This window comes from Homo sapiens, chromosome 10, assembly GCF_000001405.40.
Source record: "Homo sapiens chromosome 10, GRCh38.p14 Primary Assembly".
Classification (NCBI taxonomy): domain Eukaryota; kingdom Metazoa; phylum Chordata; class Mammalia; order Primates; family Hominidae; genus Homo; species Homo sapiens.
Genome location: NC_000010.11, coordinates 34,414,287 through 34,434,794, shown reverse-complemented (window position 1 = coordinate 34,434,794; position 20,508 = coordinate 34,414,287). Strand labels below are relative to the sequence as shown.

Here is a 20,508-nt window from a genome sequence, read left to right as displayed (position 1 = left end):
GATATTTAGAGTGTTCTTTACTTTTTCCTCCTCTTTTCTGTATGCCTCTAATCTTGGCAATTGTATTTTTAAATTCATTCATCCCTCTGCATCTTCATTACTACTTCCAAAGTCCAAGCTGTCAACAGCTCTCACCTGGGTCACTACACAACACTGCAGCCCTCCTCCCTGTTTACATCTCTTTGTCCACTGTGGCTAGACTGATGTGTGGTCAGGAGCACTGCTTGACACACTCTGGGGCTCTGACCATACCCAGGAACACCGTGGGTGAAGTGGTTAACAGCTGCTTGAAGTTGCAGCAACCTGGATTGGAATTGCACAGCATGTCTTATGCTGACCAAGCTGCTGAACTTTCTAAGTGTCAGAGCAAGCTTCATAATCTATTGTGATATATTTCAGAGGATTGTGAGGATGAGATAAGATGAGTCATGGAAAGCTCTTAAGACAGTAGCTAAAACACATGAAATACTCTAAGTGTGAGGGCTGATATTGGTGTTTTTGTCCTTTTTGAGTCTTCCTGATGTTCCTTCACCATGTGGATCGCAGCTGCTTCCAGGGTGCATTCCCAGGTTAGGCAGCCCTGCTGAACTCACTCTAGTCTCCAGATCTACCCTGTTCTTGCATCTCTGGGTCTTTGAACATGCTGGCCAACTCTTCCCTTTTTCCTGCCTAGGATCTGCTGTTCTGATCTCCTGCCACCTGCCTCCTTCAGCTCATTATTCTTAGCCATACCCGATCCCTGCCAAAACCAATGTGAGGCACACATAATAGTGTCTTATTCTTTCCCATCCTTGCACTTTCCAAATTTCATTTTAATTATGTCTTTCTTTTTAAAGAGGGCAGGACCCATATCTGTTCCTCTGAGTTTTTAATTTGCTTTGTTTTCGAGGGAGGCATGACTCAATGTGTGGAGGCATTGGGTCTCTGTCACATACGTTTGCAGCCTAGCGTAACCATGCTTTTATTGAATACATTTGTTATTATAAAGGGCTTTCTGCTTGTAATTTGTATATCTGGAAATGTTCTTCTCTTAAAACATTTTTACAGCAACCATTTTGATAAAAAAATCTTATTCCATAGATAGTATATATTTTCTTACATTGAATGATTAACTTTTCAAGAATCTCCTCTAGATTAAATTGGAGAAAGTTTGAGGGGAGGGCAAGGAATGTTAGTTTGATTATATCAGCAGAAATCTGGGCTTTTTGAATTACTCATATTTTAAGTCCCTTGGGGGACTAATTTTCCTGAGAACTTTGTATTATAATCATAAACAGATCCAGTTCAGTAATACTTTCATAAACTTCTGGCTGAGACTTTGGTATTAATGTCCTGAACTCTTAGAAAGAGAAACATATTTTTGTAGGTTGGCCAAGAAAAATAGGTCTTGATTCAAATAAAATAATGTATTTGTTATTTTTAAAAGGTTTTTCCATTGAGCAATCTGTGAAACTTTTTGGTAATTTAGTTGTCTAATATTGGACATGACTTAGGCAGTGACTTGGTGTATTTTCTGTGGCTCAATATAATGACTATTTGAATTTTTAAGTTTTTGCTTTTGACTTGGGAGTAAGTTATGTTAGATTACACATTATTACAGAACAGTTAACTGTTACTCCTTTGGTTGTAGATTTTAATAAAAGGTAGAATCCTGTGTCTTAGTTCCTTAAATATATTTGAAATGGTAAAATATGCAGAGAAATTTTTTATTGAAAGTAAACATTTTATTTAAGGTACTTTAAATGTACTTTAAGGTACATGTGCAGTTTTCCCCCTGCTGTTAGTAAATGGCTGAAATAGCACTTTGGATCTGTGGCACCCTGGAGAAGCTTTCCTCTTCACTCCTCTGACATTCTGTTTCTAAGCTCATTCATATTATTTATAGAAATTTCTTCTTTTTGCTCTACCTCCCTGAGTGCTGGTCATTTCTCTGGATGGGTTTTTACATGCTCTTCCTTGGTGAACTTTTATGTTACTTTAGTTCCTCTTCCTGTTCCTTCAGACTTGTGCTTACCTGCAAGGATGGGCTGGTCACTACTGTCTAGATATCTTTTTGATCACTCAGATTCAACATGGGTGAAGGTAAACCATCTTTATGTTTTCCCTGAGATGGGAAGTGGTCCCTAATAAAAAGGGCAATGTGACTTGAAACTGCCAGTTCTGAACCTCATTGTCCATGGATCTGGGCCATATATAGCAACCTATGTGTTCAGAATTACCTTACCCCTGTGAAATCATGAGTAGTTAATTTCTGGTGTTTCCTACGCCCAGAAAATTCTATGATTGGCCATTCTTTTCTTGTTTCTTTTAATTTTGCTCTGTGTCTCCCAGGCTTCAAACTTACTCTCTTATTATCTTCTCTCTAATTTTTTATGTCTTACCTAGTGCCAGGTACTATATATTATACCTTTACTCCTCTGTGTGTGTGTGTGTGTGTGTGTGTGTGTGTGTGTGTGTATGTGCACGTGTATATCTTTCTATTTTCACAGCACCTGTTCTCATTTCAGCCATATTCCTTTTGACTAGACCTATGTAATATTTGTCTCCCTCTCCATCTGTTTGTTTTTAAAATCAATTCTGCGTTTTCCTATTTGCTTAGTCTTCCAAATTGCCACTTGGATTTCCTCACCTGCAAGTTTAAAAGCATGCAAAACACTCCCTACTGTATTTTGATTTAAGTTAAATCAAATTTATTATCTTGATATTCTGGGTTCTCTGCATTCTTTTTTTTTTTTTTTTTTTTTTTTTTTTTTGAGACAGAGTCTCACTCTGTAGCCCAGGCTAGAGTGCAGTGGCGTGATCTCGGCTCACTGCAAGCTCTGCCTCTCAGGTTCACGCCATTCTCCTGCCTCAGCCTCCCGAGTAGCTGGGACTACAGGTGCCCGCCACCACGCCCAGCTAATTTTTTTAGTAGATACGGGGTTTCACCGTGTTAGCCAGGATGGTCTCGATCTTCTGACCTAATGATCCACCCGCCTCGGCCTCCCAAACTGCTGGGATTACAGGCATGAGCCACCATACCCGGCATTTTTTTTTTTTTTTTTTTTTTTTTTTGAGACAGAGTTTTGCTCCTGTCACCCAAGCTGGAGTGCAGTGGTGTGATCTTGGCTCACTGCAACTTCTGCCTCCCAGGTTCAAGCAATTCTGTTGCCTCAGCCTCCCAAGTAGCTGGGATTACAGGCACACACCACCATGCCTAGCTAATTTTGTATTTTTAGAAGAGACAGGGTTTCACCATGTTGGCCAGACTGGTCTTGAACTCCTGACATCAGGTGATCACCCGCCTTGGCCTCCCAAAGTGCTGGGATTACAGGCGTGAGCCCCTTGCACCCAGCCTGAGCTACCACACCCGGCACAAATTTCTATTTAACTTTTTTAGGCATCATCTCCTACCATGATCTCATGCATATTTTGTGCTCTGGTGGACTGCTGTGCCTTCCTTTAAAATCAATTCTGTTCCTTCTGACTTCAGATATTCCTACAATGCTAGACTCCCCCTACTTTCTGAATCAGCATTGTGTCATTCATTGTTTAATTCTGTCTTTGATCATGTGTATTGATGCTCACATTAAGATGACACTCTGCTTGAAAATGAAGGGGTAGCATCAGGGGTGTTATTCATGTGCAGAGCCAAGATGGATCTCAGCATCATACTTATTAACTGCAATCTGGAGTAAGCTACTTAATCTGTAGTTTCCTTGAGAGGCCTCAACCTGGGCTAAAATGGTCACTTAATGAAAACTGATATCCAAAAAAGAAAGTGTGTGGTAGAATTTTGTGGAAATCCAAATCATTTATTTCAGTTAATGATCTGTCTAGAAAACGCCAATCAGTTTTTATCACATGACCTACATGTTCCTCTTCATTTCTGTGGAGTAAAAGATGTTGCGGTGCTCCCTCTGTGTCACACCCTGTGAGGAAGTGGTGTAATATGCCCACAATCAGATGGCCTAGATTTGACTTTCTGAGGCATTCATTAGCCTGACCCCTGTGATCCTCCATTTCCTCATCTGGATAATTGGGGAAATTGCCTCTTTCTTCCTTATGCAGTTGTTCAGAAGCTTTAATACCATAGCGGACAGCTTATGGTCTTGACCCAGAAAAAGCTAAAATTTCTGTTTCTTTTAGTTGTGTGACTTTGGCAATATTGATTGTTTCCTATTTTAGTTTTCTTATTTGCAAAATGGTAGATGATAGAACCGATTTCATGGACTTCAGTAAAGATAATGTAAAATAATATGGTTCAATATTAATCAGTGTTAGTTATTTTAGTTACCGTATGCTAGTTCATGCAAGCCTAATATAAAATTTATTTTTCTTCTCGCTGCTTATCCAATCCTAGTGATTGCTACAAATTTTTGATAGTCATATTCTATCATTAGGAAGTCAACTTGCTGCTTAAAATGGAAAGCCTTGTTAGAATAATATAAGTAAATTACGTACAATAGTCTATTCTATTCTAAGATATTCTAGGTTAGGATTTTTAAAATGTAGAAAAAATTTGGAGTGTATGATCAGTATTATCTTTATATTTCTCATATGTGTTAGATGGTTATGTTTTTCATGTAGTCATACATATGGTTAAAATCCTTTGATAACAAAAGAAAAAATACCATATAGCCAATAATTCAAGAACATGCCAGTTGGCATATTCTCAGATTGTACTCAAATGGTAAACACTTTCAATAAGGTGTTTCTTAATATCTTACTAAGAAGTACTAGCATTATGGCTAAGCTGCTTTTTGTAAATAAAACAGATTTTTATAGCCAGGTGCAGTGACTCATTCCTATAATCTTAGCACTTTGGGAGACCAAATCAGGAGGATTGCTTGGGCCTAGGAGTTCGAGATCAGCCTGGGCAGCATAATGAGAATCCATCTCTACAAAAAAAATTAAAAATAACTGGGTTAGGCTGGGTGCAGTGGCTCACGCCTGTAATCCCAGCACTTTGGGAGGCCGAGGCGGGCGGATCACAAGGTCAGGAGTTTGAGATCAACCTGGCCAATATAGTGAAACCGTGTCTCTACTAAAAATACAAAAAATTAGCTGGGCATGTTGATGGGCATCTGTAATCCCAGCTACTAGGGAGGCTGAGGCAGGAGAATTGCTTGAACCCGGGAGGCGGAGGTTGTGGTGAACTGAGATCACATCATTGCACTCCAGCGCGGGCAACAGTGCAAGACTCCGTTTTAAAACAAAACAAAACAAAACAAAACAAAACAAAACAAAACAAAACAAAACTGAGTTAGAGTGGGGCTGTATTCTTAGCTACCCAGAAGGCTGAGGCAGGATTATCCCTTGAGCCCAGGAAGTGGAGGCTGTAGTAACCTATTATCATGCCACTTGTACTCCAGCCTGGGTGACACAGTGAGACCCTGTCTCAAAAAAAGGAAAAAAAAAAAAAAGATTTTTATTTACTTGTGGTTCTAATGCTTCTCATCTAGGTTAAGTTTTGCTTAAATTCAAAGAGGTGTCTAGACAGAAGTAACTTTGTCACTAAAACCTTCATTCATGACTATATAATATATATATACAATGAAATATCATTTCATTTCATGAATATTTTATCCAGCATACATGGGATATAAAAATTCATTTTCCGAGTTTCTGAGATTTTATTTTCTTTTTCTTCTCATAGAAACTAAGTCTTTTTCAAGTTCTGCACTGTACCTACTTTTGGCTTTAAAATATAAAAGGAATTAATTTGTATGATGTTTTCAATGTGAATTCATTTACAACCTGAATTTATAAGCGTTCTACTCTGACTATGACTTCTAAAAAATTTCCATATGCATACTGTGGTTTTAAAAATAATTGTTTATTGTTTATTCTTTTCTTTACTACCTCCAGTCTGAGCAAGAGTTCTTTCTTTCTTTGGTGCACCATTTTGCATTGCTAACAAATTTTCCTTGACTGATTCGTACTTCTATTTTGGATGTGTGTATATATTTGTGTGTTTGTGCAAGCTTACATAAAATTTAGCGTTAGTGTTTCTGCATGATTTCCTTTAGTTTATAATGTAGGAAAAAAATAGTTCTTACAGTCTCTCACCCCACCAGTGATTTGATTTAGCAAAACCACTGGCTTTATAATCCTTCCTGGCCCTTTTGTCCCATTGGCAGGGCTCTAACCTCTTTACTCCAGAGAAAACACAGCTGTTGTCGTCTTCTTTCTGAACAGTGAAGGGGGCTACATCATTTTCAACTGTATTTTGAAGAATTAATTTGTGCACTAATATAAATGAGTTTTCTAAATTTAAATGTTTGAAATAAAGACAATTTATATAATTTTAGGCCTCTTTTTTCTTTTAGAGATGGGATCTCACTATGAGGCCCAGACTGGGTTTGAGTTTCTGGGCTCAAATGATCTTGCTGCCTCAGCCTCCCAACTAGCTGGAACTGCAGGCACACACCACCACACCTGGCTTAAGACATTTTTAGCAATAAAGCAATTTTTGGTAGGTATTTGTGAGTAGATGAAGAGCTTTTAGTTATGTTGGGCTCTTTGCATTGTCTCTTACGACTAGGCTTATTCATAAGAATCCTATAAGTCATACTGCTTTAAAATTTTTATTATCACTAGAGTCAGGGGAATTGGGAGAGATTCTTCCTCAGTTAGTTGTTCTATCTTGAAGATTGGGGAAATGCTGGAGGTTTGTTGATCGGGAGAGATTCTTCCTCAGTTAGTTGTCCTATTTTGAAGATGGGGGAAGTGCTGGAGGTTTGTTGTGGGATGATGTCGTTTTTTGGGAGTTGCTCACCTTGCAAGAGCCTTGGTCTACCGGCCTTCTCTCTCAGGTAGCATTTGCCCATTGCCATCACATATTCCACTTCACTGTCCAGCTCCCCCATTCCTCTACATGGTGATATGGTGTGTTTGTGTCTTTGTGTCTGTGCTATGTAGTTGCCACTTCCCCCTACCCCTTCATCGCCTCCACATATCGGGGGAACCTGTCCCCGATAATTCAACGTAGTTTCTTTTATATTTTCCCTAAGTGTCAGCCAGTCTGAGAAATAAAGAGAAAGAGTACAAAAGAGAGAAATTTTAAAGCTGGGGGAGACATCACATGTCGGCAGGTTCCGTGATGCCCCCTGAGCGGTAAAGCCAGCAAGTTTTTATTAGCAATTTTCAAAGGGGAGGGAGTGTAGGAATAGGGTGTGGGTCACAGAGATCACATGCTTTAAGGGCAACAAAAGATCGCAAGGCAGGAGGTCAGGGCGAGGTCACAAGGTCAGGGCGAAACTAGAATCACTAATGAACTTCCATGTCCCGCTGTGCATGCATTGTCATTGATAAACATCTTAACAGGGTTCAAGAGCAGAGAACCGGTCTGACTAGAATTCGCCAGGCTGGAATTTCCTAATCCTAGCAAGCCTAGGGGCACTGCAGGAGACTAGGGAGTGTTTCATCCCTACCTACGTCTGCATAAGGCAGACACTCCCAGGGTGGCCATTTGAGAGGCCCCGCCTGGGAATGCATTCTTTTCTCAGAGCTGTTAATTATTAATATTCCTTACTGGGGAAAGAATTCCGCAATATTTCTCTTACCCGTTTTCGGTAATAAGAGAAATATGCCCGGCCCACAGGCAGCCAGACTTTCAGGTTATCTCCCTTGTTCCCTGAAAATCGCTGTTATCCTGTTCTTAAGGTGCCCAGATTTCATATTGTTCAAACACACATGCTCTACAATCAATTTGTGCAGTTAACGCAATCATCACAGGGTCCTGAGGCGACATACATCCTCAGCTTACAAAGATGACAGGATTAAGAGATTAAAGTAAAGTCAGGCATAGGAAATCACAAGAGTATTGATTGGGGAAGTGATAAATGTCCATGAAATCTTCACAATTTATGTTCGGAGATTGCAGTAAAGACAGGTGTAAGAAATTATAAAAGTATTAATTTGGGGAACTAATAAATGTCCATGAAATCTTCACAATTTATGTTCTTCTGCCATGGCTTCAGCTGGTCCCTCCGTTTGGGGTCCCTGACTTCCCGTAACATCCACACGCCTGGGATTCTGGGATTGCTCTTCTTCTACTTCCTTTTCTGGTTGTGACTCATCTTTTAACTGTAACTTATTGAAGGTCTCCTACATTTTTAACACTGAGGTACTTGTGAAGAAAAAGGACATTCATTTGAACAAATATTTGCCACTAGATATTAGTCTTAAACTTAAGCCGATATGGTACTATTATTTAGAAATATTTTAACAAGTAAATTTTTTGAAATAATCATGTAATTACTCATTCTTAAGTTGCCTATCTTACTTTTTAATTATAGAAGTGGATTCTATAGCACTGTAACTATTTTGGTTCTCTTTTCCTTATCTCTTTTCTACAAAAAAATACCATTCTCCAAAAGGACATTTTAGCGTGAAGTAAGCCACCAAGCACATGCAAAAAGTGGATGGATTCTGTTTACTGTGTTTTCAGTTGTTTAACATTTATATTGAAAATGCTATGAGTAACGAGGAAACTCAGTTTGCTGAATGTTCACCATGTACCAAGGTTTGTGCTAAATATCAGTGTTCATGATCTTGTAGGTAAAGCAGGCATTACTATTGCCATTTAAAGGTAAGAAAACTCATCCTTTTACTAAACTGTTTGCATGTTACCTACCTAGTAAGTGATAGAGATACAATTTAAAAACCAGTTGATTCTGGTTTTTAAACCTATTACTTGTACGGTTGAAAATATAATACTATATTTGCCATTTTGTTTTTGCTCAGTTAAATATTTCTTTAGTATTGACTCTAGGCTTTGGTGTTCAGTATTGATTAAAAAAAATTCAACTCTGTCCTCAGATACCTGATAGTTTATTGGGTCCACAGAAGATTGGAATCATTGTTGTGTTTATGATGAAGTAATATAGGTGGATGTAAAGCATCTGTGAACGTTTCAGTGACTTTGACAGTTGAATAGAAATTTGGGTACTCTGCCCAAAACACTAAAGCTGCTTTGGGTGAATAAATAGTATTGACTTTAGGCTTTGAAGCACAAGTAAGAGTTAAACTAGAAGGGGATTAAAATCCTTGGCAAAAAGTCAGAGTTTAGGTGAAAATGGATTACAGTAGCATGTCCCCATGCCCAGCGCCACCTATTTTCACAGGGACATGCGCCTGTAATCCCAGCACTTTGGGAGGCCAAGGCAGCAGGATCATTTGAGCCCAGGAGTTCAAGACAAGCCTCAGCAACCTAGGGAGACCCCCATCTCTACAAAGAGTAAAAAAGTTAGCCAGACATAGTGGTGCACACCTGTAGTCCCAGCTGCTAGGAAGGCTGAAGTGAGAGGATCCCTTGAGCCCAGGAGTTCGAGGCTGCAGTGAGCTATGATTGTGCCACAGAGCGAGACCCTATCTCCAAAAAAGAAAAGAAAAGCAAATTGGTGGAATTTTCGTTTGTGAGTAATCTGATGTGTTGAGAGTTGTTTGTTAGTGGCCGGGGTGCATAGAACTTAGATTGGGTTCTGGTTGTGAAAGTATCCAAATGTATAACGTTAAGAGGCAATGTTGGTGAAAGAAGGGGTCTAGAGTGTCACATTGCTTCCAAATGAATGTTTCATTCATTAAAGTATAATGAAAATGGATTTGAGAAGAGAGAGACAAAAGAGAGAACGCTTAGGAGGGTGAGCAAAAATATTCTAAATGCAGGCTATTCCAGTAGAGATGGAAAAAAATTGGAAGATAGGAGGTGGAATAAAAAAAAAAGTGGTCTTGGTCATGATTAAGATGTAATTTTCATATGATTGAGACATTAAAAATGGCTCACAGCAATGTCAGTAGAATGGAGGGACACGCCCCAGGTTTCTAGGAGGCTGTGAAGAAAATGGGAGGTATAAAATGTGGAATGCTAAGAGAAATAGAGGAATCTTCTTTGTTTTAATTTTTTAAATAGTAAAGGAGATTTTTGCCCAGTTGCCTGCTGATAGGAGAGAGCCATTGCTCATGTAATAGGTCTTTTTGCTCAAAATTTAAAGTTAGGCCAGGCATGGTGGCTCACCCCTGTAATCCCAGCACTTTAGGAGGCTGAGGTGGGTGGATCACCTGAGGTCAGGAGTTTGAGACCAGCCTGGGCAACATGACGAAACCCCGTCTCTACTAAAAATACAAAAATTAGTCCGGCGTGGTGGTGCGCGCCTGTAGTCCCAGCCTCTGCTGAGGCTGAGAAATGAGAATCTCTTGAACCCGGGAGACAGAGGTTGCAGTGAGCTGAGACCATGCCATTGCACTCCAGCCTGGGTGACAGAGCAAGACTCTGTCTCAAAATAAATAAATAAATAAATAAAAAATGTAAAGTTAGAATCTTGATTACTTGAATTACTAAGCCCAGTTTCATCATGCTGCATATTTGATTAGTTCCTTCTGGAGTCTTTCAAAGACTTTCTGGTTTCTACTTACCTAAACGGTTTTCTGTTACTCGAATACATCTTGTTGCCTATTTCTTCCAACAGATTATTATGAATGTATTAAATAACATTGGTCTTGATTCTTATCCCAGGGGATTCTGCTACTAAAATCTCTGTTCATCCTAAGAAACTCTTTATGTTTGTTTGTTAGAGAAAATGATGACTGGTGATTTTATTTTTCATCCCCTGCATGCATTGCTGTATGTAAGAAAAGAATGGAAGTGTTCATCAATTTTTAGCTGCTCTTTGACTTTTCTATTATGTTTGTATTATATTATATTAGGTAAGATGTTAATATACAATAACAACACTTGCAAATATAGAAATATTTATGACCTTAAAAATAAAAGGGAATTTAAGGGTTAATCTTCAATCTGTGGTGAGTTGCTTTTTGCTGGAATAATATTGCTTGGGGACTTCCTATGAATAAGTAGATAAAAATTGGACCAGAGTTTCATGATTTCTTTTCAATTCCCCATGTGATTATAAGTTTGCCAGTTTGTTAATATTTGAACTTTAATAACGGTTCTGTGAGTTGAAAAACACCATTATGATTTTAAGGTGGTCTGGAAAACCTAGGTAGTTGTTGCATAATTTGACGTAACTACTTGAAACTCTGGTTCTCTTAAAAACAATTTTGATAATAGTAATAACATTACTAGCTTTTTTTAAACATGCCCAAATTCAGTTGTGTATGTATTTGTGTATATGTGAATCAGTGTGCTGTATTTAGGGTAATTTTTGGTTAATAACAGTAATTACAAGAATTATTCCTTTTCAAATTTTATAAAATGTTTTAATTGACAAAAATGTATATATTGTGCACGACTTGATTTGAAATATATACATTATGGAATGGCTAAATTGAGCTAATTAAGACATGTAATACCTCACGTACTTCGTTTATTTTGTGTGGTGAGAACACTTAAAACATGTTTTCTTAGCAGTTTTCAAGTATACAGTATATTGTTATTAACTACAGTGACTATGTTGTACAGTAGATCTCTTGAACTTTTTCCTCCTAATGGAAATTTTGTATACTTTTACCAACACATCCCCACCCACCATCCCCCTAACCCCAGGTAACCACAATTCCACTCTCTACTTTGATGAGTTCAGTGTTTTTAGATTCCACAATAAGTGAGATCATACAGTATTTGTCTTTCTGTCCCTGGCCTATTTCACTTAACATAATGTCCTCCACTATCATTCATGTTGCCACAGTGATAGATTTCTTTCTTTTTAAAGGCAGAGTAGTATTTTGTTGTGTGTGTGTGTTTGTGTATGTATGTATCTGTGTATTACACATTTTTCTTATTCAGGGTCTATTGATAAACACTGTTGATAAACAACAAGATAGGTTGATTCCATGTCTTCGCTAATGTAAATAGTGCTGTAATAAACATGTGAGTACAGCTATCTCTTCAACATACTGATTGCATTTTCTTTGGATACATGCCCAGTGGTGGGATTGCTAGGTCATATAATAGCACTATTTTTAACTTTTTGAAGAACCCCTATACCCTTTTTCATAATAGCCGTACTAATTTATATTCACACCAACAGAATGCAAGGGTTCCCTTTGTCCACATCCTCTTTAGTACGTTATCGTTCATTTTTTTGATAGTAGCCATTGTAACAGGTGGAAGGTGATATGTCATTCTGGTTTTAATTTGCAATTCCCTGATGATTAGTAATCTTAAGCATTTTTCATATACCTGTTGGCTACTTGTATGTCTTCTTTTGAGAAATGTCTATTCAGATTATTTGCCCATTTTTAAATCGAGTTATTTGTTTTCTTTTTGTTAAGTTGCTTGAGTTTTTTTTTTGTATTTATTTTGGATATTAATCTCTTACCAGATATATAATTTCCAAATATTTCTTCTATTCCATACATTGTGTTTTTACTCTGTTGATTGTTTCCTTGGCTATGCGGAAGCTTTTTAGTTTAGTTTGATGCAATCTTGTTTGCCTATTTTTGCTTTTGTTACCTGTGCTTTGGGTTCATATCTGACAAGAACTAGCATGTCTTGAATTTTACCCTGCTAAGTTTTTTATATACGTTATTCTTAAACAGATCCTATGGGGTAGACGTTAGCATTATTACGTCAGTTTTCTGGTTGAGGAACCTGAGTTATGAATGCCATATTATTTGCTAAAGGTCACACAGTAAATATACCTTGGCTTTAAATCTCAGCCTTTCTAACTTTAAAATCCATGATATTATCTACTAAATTATAACTGCATAGACAAAGGTGGATTATTCATAAACTGAGATTCCTAGGGGTGAGAGTGGGTGTCCCTGGATGTGCTGTGGGAAGTCTGTGAAATCTGTTCCTTCCTTAGGGCCCTTGGTCTGGTCCTCTGCCTGGAAATTGCTTTACCCAGATATCTTCTTGCTTAATTCTCCTGGGTCCTTCAAGTCTTCACTTGAATTTCACCTCCTCACTGAGACCTTCTCTGACCTCTGTTTACAACTTTATCTTGCTGCCTCTGCAACGTCCCCACCTCTCCAAATTTCTGTATTCCCAGGTCTCCTTACCTTACTCATTTTTAATAGCACTAGCATACATACAATTCTTTACATTTATTGTGTATTTTCTTTCCCTGCCTATTAAAATATGAGTTTCAGAAGGGCAGAAATCTTTTCCGTTTTGTTCACTCATCTGTTTTAAGCACCTGGGATGGCACTTAGCATATCATAGGCATTCAATAATTGAATAAATAAGTGAATGATTCAGGGTGGGAATTCTCTCTGAATTCACAAATAAGATTTATTGTTTAATGAGCTTGCAGCTAGGAAAAGAGTTCATGGCTTTTAGCAGATTTTCACTTTAACAGACCGGACCCAAAGTTTACTTCAAGCGGTAGTGATTCCTGTGCTTTTAAGTTGAATGAAAAAAAAACATGGATGCTCATTTTTAGTTGTATATGATGCATAGAAATGTATAATCTAATGTAGATTAATGTAATAACTAGTATAATTATTAATAACTAATATAACTAATTACAAATTATAATTAAATACTTTTATATTTTATATTTACTTTAAATATTATAATTTATTACTTAAATAACTAGTTATAATAATTATTAATAAGTAGTACAATAACTTATATATGTTAATAACTAGTAAATGCTAGTTCAGTTTGCAGTTTTCCTTGGGATCATTTTGGAAAGATAAATTATACTTTGCATTTCATTTTTGTTTTGTTTTGAGATGTGATCTTGCTTTGTTGCCAAGGCTGGAGTGCAGTGGAATGATCATGGCTCACTGCAGCCTTGACCACCCAGGCTCAAGCAGTTCCACCTCAGCCTCTTGAGTAGCTGGAACCATGGGTGCACACCACCATGCTTGGCTGATTTTTTTTATTTGTAGAGATGAGGCCTTGCAATGTTGCCTGGGCTGGTCTCAAACTCCTGGGCTCAAGCAATCCCCCCGACCTTGGCCTCCCAAAGTGTTGGGATTACAGACATGAGTCACTACTCCTGGCCTGTTTTGCAGTTTAAAATTACAGATTGAAGATTATTAAATTTTGTTCTGAACATGTTAACATGCATATATTTTTGAATGTCACCATTTGAGAAAAGAAACCGAACTGTGGGATTTAATGCTTACATATTTGTTATAAATACACAGTACGGATTGCCATCGTAGTCTTTGTCTTCTATTTGTGCATGCAAGTGATGTGTTTTTATTAATTTCTACAAGAATTATTGTACATGTACATGTAAAATATGTAACAAAGTTGATTAGGCAGTGACCATCAAGAGAGAGGACTCCTGTCATCAGTCAATTAAATAGTTGCCCATAAAGCTGCACATTCAGTAAACTTAAAAGCAGGAACACTTGTGTGGATGCAAACATAGTGAGGCGCATTGAATTCCAGGATCATGATCTCTGAGTTATTTGTTTAACTGTTTCATCCTCTTTAAGATCATACACCCTTATCTTGGGCATCTGTCTCCTATGTATAAACTGACTGTTAAAAGTTTGAATGTTGTTGATCAGAGTGAATAATTTACTAAAACAAGTAGGAATAAAGAAATCCCTCTTCACGTATCTACAGAAATATTTGCACGTGAATAAGGATGCTAATTGTAGCAGTAAAAACAGGGTGCTAGAAACAGGCTTAAGTGTCCATTAATGGAGGAGTGACTAAATCAATGATTTTATATTTGCACTGTGGGGATACTCTGCAGCTATTAAAAAATTGATTTAGCCTGGGCAATATAGTGAGCCTTTATCTCTGCAAAAATTTTAAAAATATCAGACGAGTGTGGTGGCATGCATCTGTAGTACTAGCTACTCTGGAGGCTGAGGTGGAAGAATCACTTGAGCCCAGAAGGCAGACGCTGCAGTATGCCAAGATTGTGCCATTGCACTCCAGCCTGGCTGACAGAGCTAAGCAAGACTCTGTCTCAATCAATCAATTAATCAGTCAATACAGTTGAGGTAAAAATAAATTCCTAGGTATTGAAATATTTGCAAGTCATGTTGTTAAGTAAAAAGAACAAGTTTTACGTAATTTGTATGTTTTAATTCTTGTGAAAAATTGCACTTGAGTGTATGGATATGTCCTATGTATAAAATAATAGAGAATTGTTTTCCAAATTGTAATGATGGTTAATTCTTTCTGAAGGGAGAGTTGGAATAGAAATGTAGGGTGAAATATTGTATTTTATATACTTTACCACTAATTAAATATTTTATGAAACTACTTAATAATGGCGAAATACTGCCTAGTAACTACCTAACATTTAAAACATTTTCTAAATAGACATACATACACTCCAAACTGAAATGGATTGGTTTTCCTTGCCTTAAATAATGTTTCTTTGCACATTACTTCTTTTCTTTTCTTTTTTTTTGAGACGGAGTCTTGCTCTGTCACCTAGGCTGGAGTGCAGTGGCACAATCTCTGCTCACTGAAACCTCCGCCTGCTGGGTTCAAGCAATTCTCCTGTCTCAGCCTCCAAAGTAGCTGCGACTACAGGCACATGCCACCATGCCTGGTTAATTTTTGTATTTTTAGTAGAGGCGGGGTTTCACCATATTGGTCAGGCTGGTCTTGAACTCCTGACCTCAGGTGATCGCCTGCCTCAGCTTACCAAAGTGCTGGGATTACAGGCATGAGCCACCGCACCTGGCCTGTTTCTTTGCATTACTTCTTATCCATTCTCCCCTCAACACTGAACCTTTGCTCTTATTTATAATTTACTTGATGACAAATTTTAAGATTTTAATATTCAACAGTTATTCTGTTTTTTAAATTTAATTTTATGAACACATGTCTTTTATTAAAAATTCTAGGCTAGGTGCAGTGGTTCCTGCCTGTAATCCCAGCACTTTGGGAGGCTTAGGTAGTTGGATTGCTTGAGCCCAGGAGTTCGAGACCTGCCTGGGCTGGGCAGCATAGTGAGACCTTTTCCCTGCAGAAAATACAAAAATTAGCCTGTTATGGTGACATGTGCCTGTAGTTCCAGCTATTCAGGAGGCAGAGGCAGGAAGATTGCTTGAGCCCAAGAGGTGGAGGCTGCAGTGAGCTGTGATTATGCCACTGCACTCCAGTCTGAGTGACAGAGAAAGACCCTGTCTCCAAAAAATACAGAAATTCTAAAGCTCTCTCAGGGGACAAGGTTGGAGTTACTTGCCCTCTGAAAATGGAACACACTAGACAAATGTTTTTATGTCAACTACAGTGATTTGAAGTTAGTCACTCAATAAAGACTAGTGAGTTAAACATTTCTGAAACAGATTTAGGTAATTTTCTAAAGATTAATAATCATGAATATTGAAGTAGACCTGTAGTTTATTTGCTCATGTTTGTGAGATAAAAGATTAAGGCTTGCAGAGTAACAGTTATTTCACATTCCCATTGGAAATGTGGTAAATGTGCAAAATAAAGAATATATGCTGGGTGCGGTGACTCACACCTGTAGTCCCAGCACTTTGGGAGGCCTACGTGGGCAGATTGCTTGAGTCTAGGAGTTCAAGACTAGTCTGGGCAACATGGAGAAACCCCATCTCTAGAAAAATATAAGAATTAGCCAGGTGTGGTGGTGAGTGCCTGCACTCTCAGCTACTTAGGAGGCTGAGGTGGGAGGATCACTTGAACCCAGGAGGTCGAGTATGCATTGAGCTAAGATCAAGCCACTGCACTCCAGTCGGGCGATAGAACAAGACCACGCCTCAAACAGTAAATATCTAAAAATAAAAAATATATAATATAATCATCCATGGCACTTTACTGTCTTGAAAAGTTAAATGATAGACACTTAAAATTTACTTTTTAAATTTCGAAGTTCACTATTCTTGCTTCTAGAGTATAGAATTACACTCCTTTTTCAGAGTTAGGACAAATTATTGAAAATGAATAGCTCTGAAATAGATTTATTTTTATGAACTTAAGTTTTTATGAATATGCTTTTACTGAAAAAAGATGTTGTATATTTAATTTCTAAAATTTTATTTTAGACTTGTCTTGCTACTTTCTCCAGACTCTGAAAGAGGAACTTTATTTTTTCTGGATGGGTCATTGGTCATTTTTACTCAGTGGAAATTTTTTATAAAATCACATTGGTAATTTGGTTAAGGAAGGGTATTTCTCTTTGTACCACATTGAAAAGTACCTGTGGAATTTAGGCTCAGCCTATTTTCTCCTTTTTGTGGTGAAAAGTCAGAAAAGCTGAACAGTAGTAAATGCAGTTGGTAATTGAAAACCATTAAGATAAATGCACTCATTATTTCCTTTCAAAAATTTCCTCAAGTTCAAAATAAACCCAAACAATCGAAATTATTTTCTTTATTTTGAAAATAATTAATCCATTACCTTCAAATCACCTTTAAGAATTTCTATTGCAACTTAATCATAATGATTCAAAAATAAGAAAAAATCATTAGAGAGGAGACACAATGTTGGTGGTTCATAGGTGAAGGGGATATAATGTTGAGCATATTCTTTCAATTTTCTTGAGGTTTGAAGTTTTCCCAAATAAAAATTTTGATCATAGGAAATTCAGTGTAATCCATGTTCTTTTCTGTGGCTTTTTAAAACTGCAAAGTGAATTCATTCTTACCTGAATACTGTAATTGCCTGATGGATTCTTCCTTCCCGCTGCACAGACAAAATCAGTCCGCCGAGACCACAGCATTACAGTAGAGAAAGTTTAATTGACACAATGCTGGTTCATGCTGAAGAACTGGAGTTATAACTTAAGTCAGTCTCCCCAAAGGCTTGAAGCTTAGGGTTTTTATGTACAATTTGGTGGGCAGAGGGCTGGGGAATTGGTGCTACTGATTGGGTGGGGATGAAATCATAGGGGTGTGGGAACCATTCCTCATGCCTCTGGGTGGGACCACAGGATCTGTTGAGTTATGAGTAAGGGGTCCCCTGTTATCATCCTTGCTGTAAGGTTAAACTGTAAACTAAATTCCTCCCAAAGTTAGCTTGGCCTATGGCCAGGAATGATGAAGGACAGCTTGGAGTTTAGAAGCAAGATGAAGTCAAGTATGTCAGATTCCTATTGTTACAATTTTGCAAAGACATTTCAATCTGGCCATTACAGTTCATGTTGTGATACAATCTTTTTTAAAGGTATTTAAAGTCACAAAATTCATACATTATTTTATTTGCAGCCACCTCTATTTGTTCATAGTCTCACTTTCCATATTCTATCTCTAGCAAATGGATGTCAGTGTTAATACTGGGCAGTGTCTGGCTAGGTTTTCATTTTCATTTTACATCAGGTTGTTCTCTTAGTAATCCAGCGCATTCTGGACAACTAAACACTAGAGTCAGGGACTGAGCTAGATGCTGTAGGTGCAAAGATGCCTGAGGGAAGCCTGGCCCTGATAGGTGCTTAATGAAGATCTGAGTTTGCTCACTGTTACTGTAGAACCTCTCATCTCTGCAGGCTGCCTTCTTCTGACATAGTCTCATTTTGAGCAGGAAACTCATGTTTGTTGTTAGTGATGTTCTCTGCAAAGTCCCCCCTGCCCTCCTTATGTTGGTGTGAAGTGTCACTGAAATGAGCCACTCTCCTGGACGTCTTTTAAGAGTGCATCTAGTCTAGTTATGTCTGCTCAAAGCATAGCTGACTGTGACATGACAAGATTTGGGTTATTGTGGGGCTCTCTCTGCTCCTTCCCTACCTGTGACACCTTCCCCAGTAAACTCTATTTCCCATTTACATCTTGTGATTTTGGCACTGTGGATTTTGCACTCTGTTTACAAGCGGTGTGTCCTATTATTAAGTAGCTCTCTTTTGAGGAGGGTAGACCTACATACACGTAGACTTCGTGGATTGATAGCACAGACAGGAGATGGATTACCTAACTACTCTGAGCAGCAGTTCTCTATTCCTAGAATAGGAACAGCGTGTGTATAGTGCCTGGCAGATTCATGAAGGCTTTTAAATCTATGACCACTCAGTTAATGCCTTCTGTCCTCCTACTCATCTTTACCCTCTGAGGGTACCCTCCATGTAAAGTTGTTTTTAGTATTTAAGTATAATATCCATAAGATAAACTGCTTTCTCCAGACAGTATGTATGCACTTAATAGGTATACTTGTAAAACACCAAATAGCAATTCTATGTTCAGGACCACTTTGTTGATGGGTAGATTTGGGGGTGCAATGCCACCTATACACTGCACCCCAAGCTGTGTCCCCTCCAAGTGTCTCCTTTCCTTAATCCCACTGAGGTGCCATACCGGTGAGCAGAGGCACTATGGTGTTTAATCCCTTTCTACTGGTCTTTTATGCAATTCAGGTTCCTTTTTAGATAAGAATCGTTCTTTGCTGTTTGACTGGTTTGCTATAAATTCATTGATTGATAGCATTTCATTTGTTGGTTCAAGTAACATTTAAACATGTGATATATGAATAGGCTTTCTAGAATGTAAAACAATACATATAAAAGCAATAATCTGGCCAACTATGAGTATCATTCAGAGTGTTGATACTTTATATTATTGATTTTGCTTATTTATTGATCTTCTGCGAACTCTTTCTTTTCTTTCTAATGGTACTCAAGTACTACTTCATTCACTTGGCTGACTTCTCCCTTCCCCTGAGCCGACTGTGCATGTGTCTTCCCAACTCTGTGTTCAGTGACACTATATTGGTTGCCAGGGTGGGAGTGTTTGTGCAACAGGTATCAACAAACACTACATATACGGCTTCCCCACCTCCTGACCCTTTTTTTTTGTTTGTGGAGATTCTATTAGATGTTTATTAGCACGCTCCTGGCTCTCTGATTTCTTCATACCAGTTCTTGCACATTGGTGGTTATTCCTCCAGAAGTTGGTGGTTCTTCTTCCTGATCATGGCTTTAACAGTCTGTTCCTTGCATTGATTTTTGTCTTTCACCTGTAAGATCAAACTTCTGGTTACTGCAGATGAATCTGCATGTCTGCATCTGCTTGTCTGGTCTGCCCACCCCCATTCCTCTCTCCATGAGTCCCTGGAAGAGTTATGGTATAGAGGCACTTGGGAGGTCTTTTCAGTTTCCTTTTCCCAGTACTTACTTAGTGACGTTGCTTTTTAATTTTTTTTATTTGTTTTCTAAATATATAATACTTATACATGTGATATTTTGTTATATCCATAGAACATATAATGATCAGAGTACTGGGCATGTCTATCACCTTGGGTATGTTTCGAGTCCTCTCTGCTTTCTATTTTGAAATATATAATAGATTGTTTATTTTTTTCTTTTAATTTTTTTTTTTATAGAGACTGGGTCTCGCTGTGTTGCCCAGGCTGGTCTTGAACTCCTGGGCTCAAGTGATTGGCCCATCTTGGCCTCCCAAAATGCTGGGATTACAGGTGTGAGCCCACGCCCAGCCAGATTGTTGTTAACTGTGGTCAGTAGATTCAGCTTTTATAGAAACCTTAGGGTTTTGACCCGAGGATGTGATTTAAAACTGATCCTTTCCAACTTCTCAGTCCTATCCAAGTTGCAAGGCCGACTGAGTGTTCCTTTAGGATGTTTTATGGCTAGCAATGTCATGGGTTTTTAAGTGCCTTGAGAAAACAGCTGAGCCATAGCAGTGCTCTTCTTAGGCATGTGGGTACAGTAGACATGCTTCTATTTT

At 38.1% G+C, this 20,508-nt stretch overlaps 1 protein-coding gene across 11 annotated transcripts in view, besides 2 other annotated features; it reads left to right on the top strand.

Annotated features, from left to right (window-relative positions):
- The window catches only part of PARD3 (par-3 family cell polarity regulator), a 705,736-nt gene that overhangs the window by 380,502 nt on the left and 304,726 nt on the right, over positions 1-20,508 (top strand). The window lies entirely within an intron of this gene.
- Positions 6,663-7,862: an enhancer, noted in NCBI's record as "CDK7 strongly-dependent group 2 enhancer chr10:34715861-34717060 (GRCh37/hg19 assembly coordinates)". NCBI's record gives its function as "activates an origin of replication core promoter dependent on BRD2, BRD4, P300/CBP, MED14 and CDK7 cofactors, with strong dependence on CDK7, by STARR-seq in HCT116 cells {active_cell/tissue: HCT116}" and the evidence as "EXISTENCE:reporter gene assay evidence [ECO:0000049][PMID:35650434]".
- Positions 17,737-17,937: a silencer, noted in NCBI's record as "peak925 fragment used in MPRA reporter construct". NCBI's record gives its function as "represses an SCP1 promoter by STARR-seq MPRAs in K562 erythroleukemia cells {active_cell/tissue: K562}" and the evidence as "EXISTENCE:reporter gene assay evidence [ECO:0000049][PMID:32103011]".